The sequence below is a fragment of the Homo sapiens genome, chromosome 13 (assembly GCF_000001405.40).
Source record: "Homo sapiens chromosome 13, GRCh38.p14 Primary Assembly".
Lineage (NCBI taxonomy): Eukaryota > Metazoa > Chordata > Mammalia > Primates > Hominidae > Homo > Homo sapiens.
Genome location: NC_000013.11, coordinates 73,253,987 through 73,267,242, shown reverse-complemented (window position 1 = coordinate 73,267,242; position 13,256 = coordinate 73,253,987). Strand labels below are relative to the sequence as shown.

At 40.9% G+C, this 13,256-nt stretch overlaps 1 annotated feature.

Moving 5' to 3' along the window:
* Positions 695–870: a silencer, noted in NCBI's record as "fragment chr13:73840510-73840685 (GRCh37/hg19 assembly coordinates)". NCBI's record gives its function as "represses an EF-1alpha promoter that drives an FKBP-Casp9 reporter gene in an ReSE screen in K562 erythroleukemia cells {active_cell/tissue: K562}" and the evidence as "EXISTENCE:reporter gene assay evidence [ECO:0000049][PMID:32094911]".

The window sequence follows — 13,256 nt, the reverse complement described above, 5'->3', positions numbered from 1 at the left end:
TTTGGGAATTGACCTCCCTTGTGGGTTAGGAAAGCCACTTATGCCTAAATGCTCATTTCAAACCTTTAGTTTGAGGTGGTGAATCAATTTGCTTCAAAGCAGAATGAAATCTGGTTTTTAAAAAATTAAATTATTCCAGTGATTTGGTCAAAGGTTATGAGTTGGATACGTTGAATAGCTATGTTAAATATTATTCATCTCATGACAGGGAACAACTTTAATCTCAGTTTATTATGTAGAAACTATTGTAGCCAAGGACCAAAGGTATAAAAATCCCAAGGCCAACAGCACTTGTAGTGAATGGGCAGGGTAAGCGATTTCTTTAATTGACTTGGTAGCCAAATATAATAAAATTCAAACATCCATTTGCACTCAGCTCACTTTATACAGCTCTCGGGACCAGAAAGGACAGTCAATGATAGAACAAATAACCAGTGTTTTGAAATCCTCAATGTAAAATGTACAGCATGCATTATTGCCTTTAGTAAATCCACTCCAAAGCCCAGGATTATATCACTTTATTACTTCAATATACAAACTTTAACAAAGGAAACTCACCCAATTTCAGCTGTGCTGAAGGCTGGGTTTGGATATAAGCTGCCTCTCCACGAGCTTCTACTTGTGGAAAGAGTCACTTCCCAAATGCACATGTCTTCTCTACTTCACTTAGGCACACGTATTTCATCAGCTCTGCTGTGATAGTGCCACGCCATAACATTTGTAGTTTATTTTATATTTATTTATTTACTTATTTACTTATTTTGAGATGGAGTCTCACTCTGTTGTCCAGGCTAGACTGCAGTGGTGCGATCTTGGCTCACAGCAACCTCCACCTCCCAGGTTCTAGCAATTCTCCTGTCTCAGCCTCCCGAGTAGCTGGGATTATAGGTGTGTGCCACCACATCTGGCTAATTTTTGTATTTTTGGTACAGAAGAGGTTTCACCATGTTGGCCAGGCTTGTCTTGAATTCCTGATTTCAGGCGATTTGTCCACCTTGGCCTCCCAGAGTGCTGGGATTACAGGCGTGAGCCACTGTGCCCGGCTTGTTGTTTAAATATTATTCTCATGAAATGTAAAATATAATTTACTTAAAGCTAATTATCTGCATAATCAAAATCATGTTGTAACTCTAAGGACACTAAGTCTCTGGTTTAAAAAATGCTGAGAAGTCTGATTGCAGGTTTAACATTCACAGAAGGTAACGTTAAGCTGCAAACTCTCCTTTTTATCTTCCTCATAGTACACAGTCTGATAAAATTTTGAATTCATTAAACTACTCTATTCCTTTCATTTTCCCACAATTAAGTTGTAAAATAATTGCCATAATCATTAAGCTTCCATATAATACTTTATACATTTAAAGTGTTTTGCAATCATCTATTTTACAAAGTACATTGTTCTGTAAATCAAGTTTTATCATGTCCTATGTTAGTCTAAGAACCATGTTCTACATGATCAGATTAAGAGGTGGTATATCAAGCATAGAGGCAAAGGTTGATCCTTATTCAATATGCACACTTGTTATTTGACCTTTATGCAGTCTAAAAATGTTGTCTTTATTTTATCAGGAGCCAGAAGAATCCTGGAGTAGACCAAGAGAGATATATTTTCAAGATGCCATGCAGTCAACTTTTGGAGCACCCTGAATAGGCTCTGAAATCTATTGCCATTCAGGGTACTCAGTTTCAGTATTTGCCACCATAGCGCCTCTCTGCTAGAAACTGGCCAGTTATTATGAAAGCATGAAATAAATCCAAGTGCAAGGGATCTACAGGGGAGATCCCGACATTTTCAGGTGACATATATTGTACATATGGAAAGGTCAGGGCCCCTTTTTTCAGTCCAGACGTAGAGCTCACTAACCCTTTCAGCAGAAAAGAGAGATTAATGAATTCACTCTTATTGTCTCTCATACCCAGAGAGTCTTTATAGCCATTGCTGCCACATAGGTCTCTCAATTTTCCACTTAGAGCTAACACCCTTTTGCCATCAGATCCCCCAAGGAGAATAAAGCCCTCTCTTTTCCACACCTTGCTTCTCCAGGTAATGTTATAGCTACTGCAGTGTCAAGTCCATATCGAAACTTTAGGATGTAGCGCTCGAGGAACAAAAATAAGAATGCTATCTAACATCATTGTTCCTTATACCACAACAGAAGGCCCTATCAGACTTAGGGCTTTGCAACAAGAGTGCCCTCTAAAAATGCTCTCTTCCTCCTGGATGGTCTATTTCCAGATTCCCCACCCCTACACCCAATTGTGTCCCATTCCTTAAGTCTCTGTCCTGTGCCCCCAACTGCAATCCTTCCCTTGGAAAATGCAATACTGTCCTTCTCCAACAGGAACAGAAGCTTCCACACTGAAGTCCTTCCTGCATCTAGCAAAATCTAGCAGCACCTCCAGCCCTGACTAGAAAGTCAGATAGCTCTCTTTTGCTAAAGTAGGGAATTTGGGTCCTCAGATTGTGAGCAAGAATGAATGTGAAGACTCCAAATGTGGTTCAGTGTCCACACCAGAGATAGCTGCAACTGATTTCCTTTCTAGAAATGTCAACAAAGAAGAGATAAGCACACCTCAGCTACAGAAGCCATAATGCTGTTCTCGGAAAAAGCGTGGTCTAAGATCACACTAAGTTAAGGATAACTCTCCTATAAACCTGGCTTTTGTCTTACCCCTTTCAGTAAAATGAGGCTTCATTATTAAGCTAAGAAGTAGTAGGCACTTTCCTATCTCCCTCATCCCGCCCAAATAGTTTATTATGCCAGATAAATAAGCAGGTTAGTAAGTAGGTGGGCAGGTGAACAGATATATCTTCTTTTCTGCTTCTGTCTATGGGAAACCAGTCTTTCCCTTTCTTAATCCATGGATTTTGTTGGGTGGACCAAGTAGATTAACCCTTTTGAACACAATAATGGAGCCAGTGGTTCTCGCTCCGTTTCTGTCTCTCCCTGTCTCTCTCTGTCTTCTCTACTAAGATTTTAGGCACAAAGGATCACATAAGCCTGAACTGTCAGGGTCCATCTTTCCAGAATGAGCAGAAAGTCAGTCTGGGAATGAAGCCAGAACAGATGAAAGCACAGATAAAAGATGGAGAGAGAGAGAAAGAGAGCTGATCATTGTTTGATTTTCTAGATCCAGCCTTTGAAAAGCCACAGATTCTCTTTTCTGCTATGCCTAATCTGAGTTTCAGCTCTGACACTTGACAAACTTATTACTGGAAAGGATTATATTCAAATGCTAACCATGCCAACTGTGAGGTCTGTGTTTTCTGCTTTATCTGTATTTTCTTTTTTTTTTTACAATGATTATCTTTTACAGTCAAGTGCTGCATAATGACGATACAATCACCAAGAAACACATATACGATGGTGTTTCCACAAGATTAAAATGGAGCTGAAAAAGTTCTACCACCCAGTGATGTAGCCATCTTAACATCGTGGTACAACACATTACTCACATGTTTGTGATGATGCTGATGTGAACAAGCCTACTGTGCTGCCAGTCATATAAAAGAATAGCACAGGCAATTATGTACAGCATATAATACTTCATAGTGATAACAAAGGACTATGTTATCGGTTTATGTATTCACTATACCATACTTCTTATCATTATTTTAGAGTGTGTTCCTCCTATTTATAAAAAAAAATAGTTACCTATAAAATAGCCTTGGGCAGGCCCTTCAGGAGGTATTCCAGAAGAAGACATTGTCATCATAAGAGATGACAGCCTCATGCATGTTATTGCCCCTGAAACCTTCCAGTTTTTAGAGGCAAGATGTGGAAGTGGAAGACAGTGGTATTAATGATCCTGACATCATCAATCGTGACGTCAGCCTAGGCTGATGCGTGTGTTTGTCTTAGCTTTTAACAACAACAACAACAACAACAACAAAAATGGGCAGAAAATAGATAAAAAGCTTTAAAAATAGGAAAATACTTATAGAATAAGGATATAAAGAAAAAAATTTTCATAGTTTGACAATCTGTTTATGTTTTAAGCTGCGCTTACAAAAAAGTCAAAAAGTTAAAAAAATAAAGTTTATAAAGTAAAAAAGTTACAGTGAGCAACATTTAATGTATTATTGAAGAAAAAATATTTGCTACAAATTTAATGTAGCCTAAGTTCATAGTGTTTATAAAGTCCACAGTAGGGCCAGTCACAGTGACTCACACCTGTAATCTTAGCACTTTGGAAAGCCAAGGTGGGAGGACACTTGAGGCCAGGAGTTTCAGACCAACCTGGGCAACATAGCAAGACTTGTCTCTACAAAAAATTTAAAAATTAGCCAGACGTGGTGGCACATGCCTATATTCCTAACTACTTGGAGGCTGAGGGGTGGGATCACTTGAGCCCAGAGTTTGAGGCTGCAGTCAGCTATGATCGTGTCACTGCACTCCAACCTAGGCTATAAAGTCTCAAAAATAAACTAACAAATAAAAATAAAGTCCACAGTAGTTTACAGTAATATCCTAGGCCTTTACATTCACTCACCACTCATTCACTGATTCACCCAGAAATGCCGTATACAGGTGTACTGATATGGTTTGGATTTGTGTCCCCACCTAAATCTCATGTCACATTTTAATCCCCAGTGTTGGACGTGGGGCATAGTGGGAGACGAATGGATCATGGGGGCAGATTTCCCCCTTGCTGTTCTCATGATAGTGAGCGAGTTCTCACGAGATCTGGTTGTTCGAAAGTGTGTGGCACCTCCTGCCTTGCTCTCTCTCTTCCTCCTGCTCCAGCATGTAGGTCATGTCTGCTTCCCCTTTGCTTTCCGCCATGATTGTAAGTCTCCCGAGTCCTCTCCAGCCATGCTTCCTGAACACATGTGGAACCGTGAGCCAGTTAAACCTCTTTTCTTTATAAATTACCCAGGCTCATGTAGTTCTTTCTAGCAATGCAAGAACGGACTAATACATCTGCCATTTATTATCTTTTATACTATGTTTTTACTGTACTTTTTCTATGTTTAGATATGTTAGATACACAACTACTTACCATTATGTTATAGTTGCCTACCAAATTCAGTACAGTAACATGCTATACAGTTTTATAGCCTAGGAGCAATAGGCTGTGCCATAGAGCATGAGTGTGAAGTAGGCCACACTATCTAGGCTTGTGTGAGCACATTCTATGATGTGCACAGGATGATGAAATTGCCTGACAATGCATTTCTCAGAACATGTCCCCATTGTTCAGCCATGCATGACTGTACTTGTGTGATAAAAACAACTTACGTATAAAAATGATTTAGTAGAGCTGGGGATATTATAGAAATAGGTGACTCAGACCCCATCCTTCTGGATTCCTCTTCCCATGATGAGAAGGCCGGAGCCCCCAGGCTTGCATTTAATTCTGGCAGCTGCATACTTACCTGCCTTATCTCTAGATAGCAGTTCCTAGGGCAACGGCCAGGTCTTACTCAATTTTGCAATCCCAGAACCCAGCACCATACCTGACACAACAATTATCACTCGTTGTGGGTTTGTTGACTCTACGACTTAAAGGAACTCAAGATACTTATAATCTTGTTAGAAAAACAAGAAGCACATGGAGAAGGCCATGTGCATCGTTCAAAGCAACATATCATTGCCAAAATTCACAGTTCTAGCACTTACAAGAAATAGAGTGAAAGAGAAAATCTAATGAGGAGAATTGTCCCCATTTCTTTCCAATGCCATGCCCAAGACCAGTGCCATCCGGTAGAAATATAATGTAAGCCATATATGTAACTTTGCAGATGTGAGGTCCTGGGTGAGGAAGCAACCTCTTGAGCTAAAGACAATCCTGCCTGTGTAGTTTTACATTATCTAGTAGCCCCATTTTAAGAAGTACAAGAAACAGGTGAAGTTTAGTAGTTTATTATATTACATCCAAAATATCCAAAATATTATCGTTCAACATGTAATTAACGGAAAATATCAAGCTATTTTACTTCCTTTATGTATACTAAGTCTTAGACATCAGGATACGTATTTTACACTCACAGCACATTTCAGTTCGGACCAGCGACATTTCAAATGCTCAACAGCCACATGGGGCTAGTGATGCCATTCTGGAGAACAGGTCTATACAATTAAAACTCCCAGAATATGCAGAGTTGAATAACCTGCCCTTCAGTAACCCAACATGACTGCCCCTGAGTGGCCTATTGCGATCCAGACACATACCCCCAGCATGCTCACTGCCTCTTCTCCCTAGGAGACCTGGAGTTATAGGACAAGTAGTGAGATGCCGATGCCACTCCCAGCTTCCAATACTAGTGCCTGACCCAGAGGGAGGGCTCAATACATTTTAGTTCAATGTTGAACCCTCATTCCCTTTTCTTTCATAAAGAACCTGGTCTCATCAAAATACCAACAGTTCTTCACCCTTTACCATCATTTTTCAGAAGGAAATTCTAAGAAACTACTTCAGGCCAGCTATTGAAGCAGGCTTCATGAAACTGGTCACACCAGCTACTTCAGATCCCCTCTCTGAAGAGAAAGGAGGAGAGAAAAGAGGAAAACAGAAACAGAAGTTCCTGTTCAACACCTCAGAAGTCCACACCGAGTGACACTACTGGCCCAGGCTACCTTCTTTTCTTTTCGCCATGTCCTTTTGTTTGGCTGCTGTGATTTTTAAGTATTTGAGTTTGAACAAATTAGCTCTGAAGGGAAGAGAATTTCCACAACATGAAGGGGAAACAAGAAAATTTTAAATCCAGTGTGTTTTCCAGCTTCCCATCTTCACACCAAAATAAAATACTGACACTCATGAAAGCTAATCATAATAAGCAAACTAGGAACCTCTGGAGCCCAAACAAAATGAGAAATCAAAAATAAAGATGCATTTTTAATAGTCCTAAACATCTCATTCCAAAACTGTTTGAAAATTAGACCTCAGAGGCAAAGTTCCTTTTAAGTAAAGAAACACGATTTCACTGTCAAATGGGAGAATGTAATTCCCTTGTCAAAAATCCCTTTATTTTCACTGAGTGCCATGGATTCAGAGCAGAAAAGGGGGAAAGCTTCCCCCTGGCCTCTGCATATGATGGGTGGCATGAAGGGCTATGTCCAAGAATTATTGGCAAAATCTCAGATGCCTTTAAAAACAAAAAACAAAAAACATTCATGCTAAGGTTAGAGTCCCTATTTGGAAGATTTCCAGAAAACCGCATATCCAAAAAACATTCACATTTTGAACAGCCTCAGTTTTTTTCAGGCCAGATGAAGGAGGCAGTGCTGCCATCTGATTTGCTCCTAAGTGCCCAGTCATCATAGCAGAAGAAACAGAGACCTGCCACCGCCTCAGATAACGGCTGGACCCTGTTCTGGTGAATAACCCCAAGCCCAGATCTCTCTTTCAGGTACTCAGAGACTTTCATGAAAGTACAAAATGCAAGAATCCTACTGTTCATTTATCACTGTCAGTTGGATTCAAACATGGTTGACCGGGAAGTGGAGGAAGAGAAAGAATGAAAGAGAGAGAAGTCGAAGCTGATGTTTTTCATCACAGATCAGAGCTCTGGGCTCTGGACAGAATCCTGAGAGCTCAGCTGCTCACTTCCTCTGGCCACACGCAAGATCATATTTAAATCATTTCAAATTGATGAGGAGATTTTTTTAAGACCTCTAGAGGAGATAACATTCCCTCAGTAAATTATTCCGTCATTCAACAACCCTCAAGAAAATGAACCTTAATTCTATGTGATTTATATGCCTGCCACTGCGGTTTCCAGGCCCTCTGTGCTTTCAACACACAGTCACTGAGTTCCTACTAAGTACAAGGCTCATCTTAAGGGGACTCAAAGATGAAAGAGGCAGGCTGCGGGCTCCAGATGATTATGGTTCAGTAGGGAACATTAACTCCGTATACAAACAAGCACACTCTACGGTAGGAGGTGCTAAGCAGAATAAGATCATGGGCTCGGACAGTTCACAGGAGGAACCCTTTGTCCTCAGGGAGGCTGGAGAACAGCTGGGCTCCATCCCTTTGTTTGTCCTGGGTAATCTCTCTCTTCCTCACTTTTTATTTGCTCTTTTCGTGGTTTCTTAAGGTTGTCAACATTTTGAGACATATGGAAGACACCGTGTGAGATGGGAACACATCCTATCTGATAGCAGAATGTTCATAGCCTCAGTGACTAAATGTCGCATACACTGTTTGGGGATGAGTGTGGCTACTGAATGCTGGCCAGCTGCCCCACCTGTTCCAGAACTTTCCTTTCTCACTCTTGCCAAATGTGTGTCCCATCTGCTATGTTAAAACTGAAATCAAAGATCAAAACAAGTATTAAACAGTGTATTTGGGGGCTCACTGCCTGAAAGTTAAATAACATCCCTCCTCTCCCTCTATCTTCTGTCATTCCCTGACCTCATGGGAGTGCAACAGAGTGGTCGCTGGTCACGCAGGACACCAGTGTTCTTACATTATTTGGTGTGCTTGACTTGCTTCCCTAGTCAGTGGGTAGTTGTTTCTTTTCATTTTCTGTCTTCCTTGCTGCCAAACTGTGTGGCCCTTAGTAAAAACCTGTTTTGTCAGAAGAAATCAGAAATATGACTCTGAAAAATTAAGGGACTTATCCAAGTTCACACAACTTACGATGGAGTGGGAATTTGACCTCAGCTTTTCCGCTTCTTGGCTTCCTTCCACTGTGTGATGCTTCCTGTGTGGTCATCAGCTCTCCCCAGCTATCTTGTGAGCTCCTAACTGTTCTGACATAGGTTCCTGGAGACGAGTCTCACGTTTTTTTTTATTTACCCTACCATGTCTTTTGCAGAAAACAAAATCAACAGATATGGGAAGTGTTGGGGAGAAAAGCATAGAAAGGTAAATACAAGTGCCAGCTCAAGACACAAACCTAAAACTAGCAGGTTTCCTAAGCACATGAATGTCACTTCCTATTTCTCCTGTAATAATCCAAGGGAAAACTAGAGTTTTGCTGTTTTACCAACAAACAGCACAGTTGATGGTGAGTGTCAGCACACCAGCCACCTAGCAGAGGAGAAGCCCACTGGGTCTGCCTTCCACCCAGACCCAGACCAAGACCCTCTGGATCAGATGAGGCCTCCAGGCAAGGACGGACCACAGAAATCAATAGAACACTTTCAAGACCTGTTCAAGCTTCAGACCCAGTGTCAACATTCATGAAGAGTAAGGAGGACCTGTCATCAGCCATAGTTTGTCATTTCTGAATCGAAGGCAGGGTTGGCCAACGTAGAGGAAACTGGCTGCCCTGGCATGCATTTGGTGCCCAAGGCACACATAAAATTGAGGAGGTTTTTATTTGTTTGTTTTGGGTTTTTTTTTTTTAGACGGGATCTCACTCTGTCACCCAGGCTGGAGTGCACTGGCACTATCTCGGCTCACTGCAAGCTCTGGCTCACTGCAATCCCAGCACTTGGGAGGCTGAGGCGGGTGGATCTCCTGAGGTCGGCGGTTGAAGACCAGCCTGGCCAACATGGTGAAACTCCATCTCTAAAAACACAAAAATTAGCCAGACCTGGTGGCACATGCCTGTAATCCCATCTACTCGGGAGGCTGATGCACGAGAATCGCTTGAACCCAGGAGGGGGAGGTTACAGTGAGTCAAGATCGCACCACTGCACTCCAGCCTGGGCGACAGAGAGAGACTCTGTTTCAATGTAAAAAAAAAAAAAAAGAAGAAGAAGAAAAGAAAAAATGAAAGTGTGTTATATAAAATAATAGTAATCTGGAACTAAAATTTCAAATTGTTTCAACAATATATGGAAATTGATGAGGTGTGTTAAATTTCTCATTTAGCTCAGGGAAAATTCATACTTCTTCATTCTTAATGTTGACTAAAAACTAGGTTTACATATATATTTTAAGTTGACCCTAACCATAAAAGATAGAAATGGAATGTATAACTTCAAATCACCAGAGGGGAAAAAAAGGAACAAAGTTTGATGCAACAATGTGGTAAAACTTTTTGAAATAATACATGACAAACAATTTTTGTAAAAGCTGATCTGATATTTTGGCTCTCACTTATATACATTTGTATTAAATTTGACAACATATATAGCTTTCATCATTTTTGTGGGGATTTTTTATGTAAGATAAGGCATAATATTAAAATATTTTCAAATGAAATGAGACAAGGCATTTAAAACAGTAAGACTATCAAAAGGTTTCTTCAAAGAGACTATGGCTTCCTTGTATTTAAATTCATGTAATTTGGAAGGAGAGATGAGAGGTGAGTTGACACAGAGGACTGACAACAGATGCTAGAGTTCTTCAAAGGGGGAAAAAGAGTCTTGGGAATATACCTACATGAAACACTGGGTGTAAACTGAGGTCTTAAAATTATGCCTTGATGGAAGGCAGGACTTACCTAGAGAACTGAATTCTCAGTATAAGAAATAACAAGATTTGGCCAGGTACAGTGGCTCACACCTGTAATCCCAACATTTTGGGAAGCTGAGGCAGGTGGATCATTTGAGGTCAGGAGTTGGAGACCAACCTGGTCAAACTGGTGAAACCCTGTCTCTACTAAAAAATTAGCCGGGTGTTCTGGCACGTCCACGTAATCCTAGCTACTCGGGAGGCTGCATGAGAATCGCTTGAACCCAGGAGGCGGAGGTTGCAGTGAGCTAAGATCACACCACAGCACTCTATCCTGAGTGACAGAGCGAGATTTCCTCTCAGGAAATGAAAGGAAAGGAAACTAAAGGAGAGGAGACGGGAGGGGAGGGGAGGGGAGGGGAGGGGAGGGGACCAGAGGGAAAATGTCACTAAAAGGGGTGGGGATTGAGGAATAGAGAATAAAGGAGTATTACAAACCAGGCAGCTTGCTGAAAAAAGTAGACAGTGAGAAAGAAGCTCTTAAGGACCAAAAATTTTCGAGAGCTGCAATATTATCTACTTCTTCTTCTTCTTCTTTTTTTTTTTTTGAGATGGAGTCTTGCTCTGTCACTCAGGCTGGAGTGCAGTGGCACTGTTTCGGCTCACTGCAAGCTCCGCCTTCCAGGTTCAAGTGATTCTCATGCCTCAGCCTCCTGAGTAGCTGAGACTACAGGCGCCTGCCACCACGCCAGGCTAATTTTTGTATTTTTAGTAGAGGCAGGATTTTGCCCTGTTGACCAGGCTGGTCTCAAACTCCTGACCTCAGGTGATCTGTCTGCCTCGGCCTCCCAAGGTGCTGGGACTACAGGTGTGAGCCAACGTGCCCAGCCATTTTTTACTTTATTTTAATGATGCTATAATTTAAACTTCTTTTAGTTAAACAATTCCATTGCCCCAAAACTTCAGTGAATGTCTGCCATACACACAGCCTGAGAATGTGGACAGGAAGGACTTGGATGATGTTCTGTGTGGGGTGCACAGTGCATAAAAGGAACAGCACACAGATGTGAGTAAACCATGAACTGCACTAATCCACAGAAGAAGGACCCCAGGGCCAGAAGAAGCCAGGAGAAATGGAGGTGCCCTGTCCCCTCAATGACTTGAGACATTTGGAAAGACTGAGTCTCTCACTGCACATGGGACAAGGTATTTAAGCCAAATATCAAAAGACCAGTTGGCCCTGAGTGACATTTTGGATACAGATAATGTATATTCTCTCATCAAGACAACTGGAGGTCACACTTGGAAATCCAAAACTTGAACTTTAGAGGTATTCCATAACAATAGCAAAATTGATATTAGCAAATAAAATATAATGGCTCAAAACACATAATAAATGAAAAAAAGAAATTATTTAAAAAGTGTATATGAGTTTATATAACAAAATACACTTATAAAGAATAGCAAAGAATCATATATTTCTAAATAACTATAAAGTACTAAGTCCTCAACTCAGAAAAGCAAAAGGATATTAATGCTAAAATGTTCAAGTTATGCTCAGAAATAAAAAGCCTTTCTAATTAAGAAATAAAATATCTCCTTTTTGAAATAGGCCTGAAACAGGCACTGTAAATCTAAAATATAGATGAGAACAACTTAAACATTAGATGAAAAGAAAAGAAAATCATGTACAGGTTATACCTGATAAAATAGTGGCTCATTTTTAATTTCCTGCTAAAGGAAATGAATGAGTCAAAAGAATAGAAATTTCTGGTTAATGAGAGATCAAAGCTGAATGTGATCCAACTAGCAAAAGAAGAAAAGAAAACATTGAGAAAGATCATGAACGATAGATTCTGAAATCAGAACAGGTCTTTTAGAAAGCCTTGAGCCACGATGTGATAAGGACAAAATAGAAAAGGAAGAAGGAAGAGAGAATAATCCAGGGAATCCTTCCTGATGACTCAGGTAATGATCTGTAACCATTTCAAGACTCCAAATCCTCATGAGCAACAGCCTCTCTGGAATAGCTGAAGGGAGAAGATTCTCCCACCTCCACAAACTACAAGCTCCAGAGGATCTCCCTTTCCATCAACATGGTGAATCCCTGTATAACTCCATCTAGCCTGTGAGCCCCAGGAGGCTGGAGAGGAAAGCCATTCCCTTCTCGAGTGGCAAACTATCAGCTTCAGAGTGTGGTCATCCATGTTCACCCTTGCTTCTGACACCACTGACTGACTGTTTTATATGTGTTGAGTTTGTCTGTTGAGGAAATGTGTTCAAGCCCATGATTTTTCTATACCACTGCATCAAATTCAGTATGAAACATAACATGCATCATCAACAAATACTAAGAGACAGCTTTTTAAATGTTTGGAATATTTTTCCTAATTATTTCCTCCCACTTGGGATCAGAAAACTAAACAAAGTCATTTGTTTTCTCTTGGACATGTTTAAAGACGTCCACTCATCCCTCCACCTTTCTGGGCCTTGAGTCCTCATCTATATAGTAAGGAAACTTGACTAGGGACCTCTGACGTTATCCTCCAGCTCCAGCCTTCTGGGACTGCCTCAGCCTAAGCACACAATGGCATCTTTCCCAAGACATGTTCCTCCAATTCCCTATTTCCAGTCAGAAGCAAGAGAGGAGTGGGAGAGAGGCCTGGGTAGGTAACACAGCAGAGAATTTGTACCTTGGAGAATCAGGAGTCAGCAGAGTTCTCATCTTGACCTCCCCTCCTTCTTTCTTTCTTCCTGCTTTGCTCACCTCTCTGAATTGGCATTTACACATTTGATCCTCTCTGGGTCTAGTTCCTTTTCATTTTTTGGTTAGTAGCTCCAATAGAGGCCTGCAATAAACCAAGGAAAGGCTCATTGAAAGAGAAACAGATTCCCTTAGATGTACCATGAGGGATGGCTACATTTGGGGCATTCCAACTCAACTAAATGACCCACCTGGA